This window comes from Homo sapiens, chromosome 13 (genome assembly GCF_000001405.40).
Source record: "Homo sapiens chromosome 13, GRCh38.p14 Primary Assembly".
In the NCBI taxonomy this organism is placed as follows: domain Eukaryota; kingdom Metazoa; phylum Chordata; class Mammalia; order Primates; family Hominidae; genus Homo; species Homo sapiens.
The window spans coordinates 46,762,086-46,768,085 of record NC_000013.11 but is presented as its reverse complement, the minus strand read 5'-3'; positions in this window follow the sequence as shown (position 1 = coordinate 46,768,085).

The window sequence follows — 6,000 nt, the reverse complement described above, 5'->3', positions numbered from 1 at the left end:
ATTTATAAACTTTTTAATATGTGTTATACTTTAATAAGGTTTACATTAAAAGTATATTAAGTAGTTATGCTGTGAAGATCATAAATATACTACTGCATGAAGAATTTAAAAATCCTGATGTTATTGCAAAGAATACTTATCTTGGGGGATACAATTTCCAGTGGCTACATCGTTTATCAATTCAAGTAATATTGTATCTCAAACCACTTAGAAGTGAAGGTGATGTGAAAAGTTGCTGCAAAAAGTGGCTGTAGGCCAGGCGTGGTGGCTCACATCTGTTATCCCAGCACTTTGGCAGGCCGAGGTGGGTGGACCACTTGAGGTCAGGAGTTTGAGACCAGCCTGGCCAACATGGCAAAACCCCATCTCTACTAAAAATGCAAAAATTAGCCAGGTGTGGTGGCAGGTGCCTTTAATCCCAGCTACTCAGGAGACTGAGGCAGGAGAATCGTTGGAACCTGGGAGGCAGAGGTTGCAGTGAGCTGAGATTGCACCACCGCACTCCAGCAACGGACTGAGACTCTATCTGCCCCCTCCCCCAGAAAAAAATGGCTGTAGTGATGTTACTGATATTGACGATGCAAATGAGTTTAGATAAAACCATGTCATAAAATCTTACAACAGAATATTTAATATTTCCAAGCTGACATATCTCAAGTATTTTTAAAGTATACATATAAAATCTGTGACAAGTAGGCATGAATTATATATTTAAAAATGTATAAATGTATTCGAATTAGCCAAAGTTTTGGATGTTATCATTAGAAAAATGCAGATCCAGGCCAGGCGCAGTGGCTCACACCTGTAATCCCAGCACTTTGGGAGGCTGAGGCAGGTGGATCACAAGGTCAGGAGTTTGAGACCAGCCTGGCCAACGTGGTGAAACCCCATCTCTACTAAAAATACAAAAATTAGCCTGGCATCATGGCGTGCACCTGTTATCCCAACCACTCAGGAGGCTGAGGCAGAAGAATCGCTTGAACCCGGGAGGCAGAGGTTGCAGTGAGCCAAGATCGTGCCACTGCACTCCAGCCTAGGTGACAGAGCGAGACTCCATCTCAAAAAATAAAAAAAAAGAAAAAGAAAAATGCAGATCCTCTCATGTTCAAGGTTGTCTTGTATTTAGGCACACTGGGTATATACAGTATGTAACAGATTACATTGTTTTATCGACCTTCTGCAATGAAAGCCACTTTAAAATTAAAACAGCCAGATTTTTTTTTAAGCTTTCATTTTTGAAGCCTAGCCTCCAAGTAATCTGAAGAATTGGGGTTTCGGATGAAGAAAGGAAATGTCACTGTTGGTGTTCCAGTGATGGGGATGGCAACAGCAGTAGCTAAGAAGACATTGGCAGAGGTTGCCGGGGGGGTGGTGGGGGGAAGTAAAGATGCAGCGATGGCCACAGCAGCACAGGGGACCATGACAAAAGAGGCATCCACTACAGTCGAAATGGAGGACAAAGTGTTAGAACCAGTAAGAGTTTCGTAAAGTGGCTAGAAACAATATAACTGTCTCAAAATTAGTGATTTTTCTATAAGTCTATGTTTAATAAAAATTATTTTAAAATGATCCTATTCACAGCAGCAACAAAAAACTACCTAGAAAGAACTCAAACCAGAATTGTATAATACCTCTAGCAAATAAAGTAAGTCTTAAATGGAAAGCAATATCATATTCATGGAATAAAACTCTCAATATTGTAAAGCTACAAACATACCCCAGATTAATCTACAAATGCAATATAATCTTAATCAAAATCTCAAAGTTGTTCATGGAGCTTGACAAGCTAATTATAAAATTTATATGGAAGAATATGCCAAGACGGCTTGAGAGAGAACAAATTGCTCTGCCAGTTGTCAAGACATTATAAAGCTGTGATAATTAAAACGGGTTTGGACTCAGAAGAGTTCATCCCATCAGAAAAGTCCTGCCACAGACCCACACAGAAATTTAGCGTATGTTAATAGCAATGTCTCAAATCAGTGAGGAAAACATGAGCCTTTCTGTAAATGGTGCTGCCAAATTATTTTTCAGTAGCTTTGTGGAGAAAGATATACAAAAGGAGGCCTGTGTAAAGGCATGCATTGCAGCCTTGTTTGTAATAAATACGAAAACAACCCCAAATATTTAAGAATCAAAGTAAGTTGGTGAAAAATTTGACACTGTTTACATTTTCACAAGCCATCAAAACAATATGTATTTTGCTATAGGTACAAATATATTTCATGGGAAAAGTTCTGAATGGAAATAATGAGTTACTTCTGGGAAAGAGGAGGAGGGCACCAGAGTTGAAAATAACAGCCAGAAAAGCTTTATTTTTGGTGGATTATATCATTTTTACAGAAAAAGTTATTCATGTATATTTTCAGTTGTAAAATACTAATTTTAAACACTAATAAATGTTGAAAATCAGAAAGAACAGTGCTTACACTCATCTGTGCCAAGGTCCAGAAACACATTTTCATGCTTCTTACTTTGTATTTCTGAGAACTTAAGTTCTGGTTCAAAAACACATTGGAATTAAAAAAAAAAAATAGAATTAACATAGCTGACTGTGTGAATAATGAGACTTTCAGGAGAAGAAACCCTTGTAAGGTCCTGCCTCCCAAAGGTACTTCAGGCCAGTCATTGCATCTTTCAAAGGCCAATTCCTCACTGGAAAGCAGAGTAAATAAACAAAAACCCCTACACTAACTCCCAGGGCTGTGTAGCAAGACAAGATACCCACATGAAATCTCTGTCATCTTATCCAGATGTTAGTGACTAGATGCATTAGGGCCATTGAACTTCAAAGTGACCCGTGCCGTCCTTCAGGGGTGCACAAGACCATCCAATGGACAGGATTAGAGCTTCTGTCTATATTTATTTTTATTTCATCATCTCCTGTTAAAATTTCTATTTTTGTGCATGCCTTATAATATACATAGCATATTGGTATGCTAATGTATACAATTATAAATTAAAAGTCATATAGTATGGGTGTGTGTGGCAAATGTGCCTCCCAAATTTCTTTTTAAGCTTACTTTTTAAACCACAACTTTTTAAGTGAGAGGAGACAACATTGTGAGCACCAACACACAGATTATCTATTGCGCTATTAGTTTCTACTCTGCCAGTACAAAGAATGGTTGGCTATAGAAATAAAATATTTTCCTCGAAGAGAGAACATAGTTTGTAAATTTCTCATCCTTTCATAGCCCTGCTAGTCCAAGAGAAAATGTCTTTTGCTTATCAGATATATATTTTTTTATTTGTTGTTGTATTTGGCCCAACTCTGGGATTCCAATCCATGACCAGTGAATTTTCGATTTCATTTGTGTCTCTTTGGCACCAGGTGGCAGCTTCTGTCTCTAACGACACTTAATGAGCTTCACTTTCTGGTGATAGTACATAAAGAAAATAGAGTTCTAGCACTTTCTTTGTTGGATGATAATAGTATACTCAACCAAATAAAGTAACATTTTCATCTTATTGGGCTTATTAGAAAAATTCAAATACCCCTAAAAATGAGGCATGGAGCTGGGAAGTGGGTGAGGCAAGGGACTTTTTTTTTTCCAATTTATCCTAGATATTATTTTGGGCATTCTGGTTTTGGGGTGTATTATTTTGTGTGTGTGTGTGTGTGTGTGTGTGTGTGTGTGTGTGTGTGTGTGTGTGTGTGCATTTAAACCCTGCATTTAGAGTTGTAATATTGACCCCAGGCTGTTCACGTGGTTGATTGAAGGCAGATTGCCTTATTAGTCATTGCTGGTTCAATGGGATTAATATTCCTTAAAGAGGAAAGCCTTTTCCTTTTGGGTCTCTTCTGAAAACATTTGAGTAAAAACACTGCCACCCAGTGTTTCTTTTAGGAGAAGCACAATAAATATACCGTGCACTCTTAAAAAGTTTTCTAGGATGAATAGCAAATCACCCATTTTCTTAGTTATATTCAAATAAGACCTGACAGACGACAGAACATGCCCTGCTTTAAATGTAAAATAGGCCGGGCTCAGTGGCTCACAACTGCAATCCCAGCACTTTGGGAGGCTAAGGTAGGAGGGTTGCTTAAACAGGAGTTTGAGACCAGCCTGGGTAACCATGAGACACTGTCTCTACAAAAAATAGAAGAAAAAAAAAATTAGCTGGGTATGGTCGTGTGTGCCTATAGTCCCAGCTGCCTAGGAGGTTGAGGTGGGAGGATTGCTTGAGCCCAGGAGATCAAGGCTGCAGTGAGCCATGACTGCACAACTGCACTCCAGCCTGGGTAACAAAAAAAGACCCTGTCTCAAAAATAAAAATAAAATATTCCAGCCCATATCATGCTACGTAATGCAGAGAGGCTATCCCAGATGTTGGAATGATTGTTTGATTTTCAAGCATGAATTCTAAGACGATCCTGCAAATATTCCAGCCTTACGTAATCATTCTGACCTGGATCATGGCAAAAAGACCAGGCTAAGGGCTTTGTCACCATTCGAATCCTCCCTCAACCTTTCTGCTGCAGTCACAGTTGTTTTCATCCAGCCCTCAAGAAGTGCTCTCCAGGCCGGGTGTGGTGGTTCACACCTGTAATCCCAGCACTTTGGGAGGCCAAGGCAGGTGGATCACTTGAGGTCAGGAGTTTGACACCAGCCTGGCCAACATGGTGAAACCGTCTCCACTGAAAATACAAAAATTAGCTGGGTGTGGTGGTGCACGGCTGTAATCCCAGCTACTGGGGAGGCTGAGGCAGGAGAATCACTTGAACCCGGGAGGCAGAGGTTGCAGTGAGCTGAGATCGTACCAGCCTGAGTAACAGAGCAAGACTCCAACTCAAAAAAAAAAAAAAAAAGTTCCTGTCCAGTACAGTTCAAGGCAGCCTTAGGTAGCAGCTCCCTTTTGCAGGGCCCACATCTGGAGAAACCTGTGTCCTCCCGCCTGGTCTCTTTGCCCTGCCACCCCACAGGCTGTGCATTTGCCCACCTCTTCTCTTCTGCCCTCCTCGTTCCCAGGGGAGGGGAAGGTGGGCAAATGCACAGCATTCCAACATCTTTCTCTGAAAGTTTCTGGCCTCCTCACCTCTTCTTGTATTCTTCATAGAGCCTGTTGGACAGAAGTGGGATTTGCATCCTCTTTGCGATGAACAAGCACCTTGTTTTTGGAAGGTGGTGGAACAGAGCGCCCATTATTTTGGGACCTCTGCTATAACCATAACATCGTTTACACACATAAGTAAAAGAGAGATAATGACAATAGGACCTACATCCTAGGGTCATAGAGGATCAAATGAAACAACCCAAGTAAAGCCTTGAGCTATTTACTCATCTTTTTTTAATTATTAGATATTTGGTCAGTGACTTGGTAAATAGAGGAAGATGTTATAGCATAATCGTTAAAAGTGTGGGTTCTAAGACAAACTCCAGGAGTTGAATCCCAACTACGCCACTTAGTATTCATGGGACCTTGAACAACTGACCTCCCTGTGAGATGGGGATGATTGTAGATGTTATCTCACAGGGTTCTTGTAAGATGTACAGGCATTGCTACTTGTACACCTCCTGAACAGTGCCAATTAGGTAGTAGCCACTCATATTAGTCAGGGTTCTCCAGAGAAACAAGATCAATAGGATATATATAGAGAGAGAGATGGATGACAGGGGATTTGTTAGAGAGATTGGCTCATGTGATTATGGAGGCTGAGGAGTTCCACGATATGCCATCTGAGAGCTGGAGAACCAGAGGAGCTGGTAGTGTGGCTCAATCCAAGTCTGAAGGCCTGAGAAGCAGGGAAGCCAGTGGTGTCACTCTCAGTCTGACGCCGGAGACTGGGAACCTGGGGGACTGCAGGTGCAAGTCTTGGGGTCCAATTGTCATGTAGTTCCTATTGTCATTTTCTCTCTTTTACTTATGTGTGTAAAAGGATGTTATGTTGGCGCTCCTTCTATCCTAGTTCTAGCAGAGGGCTGGAGAACCTGCAGTTCAGGAGAACAGGAGAAGCCAGTGCCCCAGCTTCAGGAGAAACAGAGAATTCACCTTTCC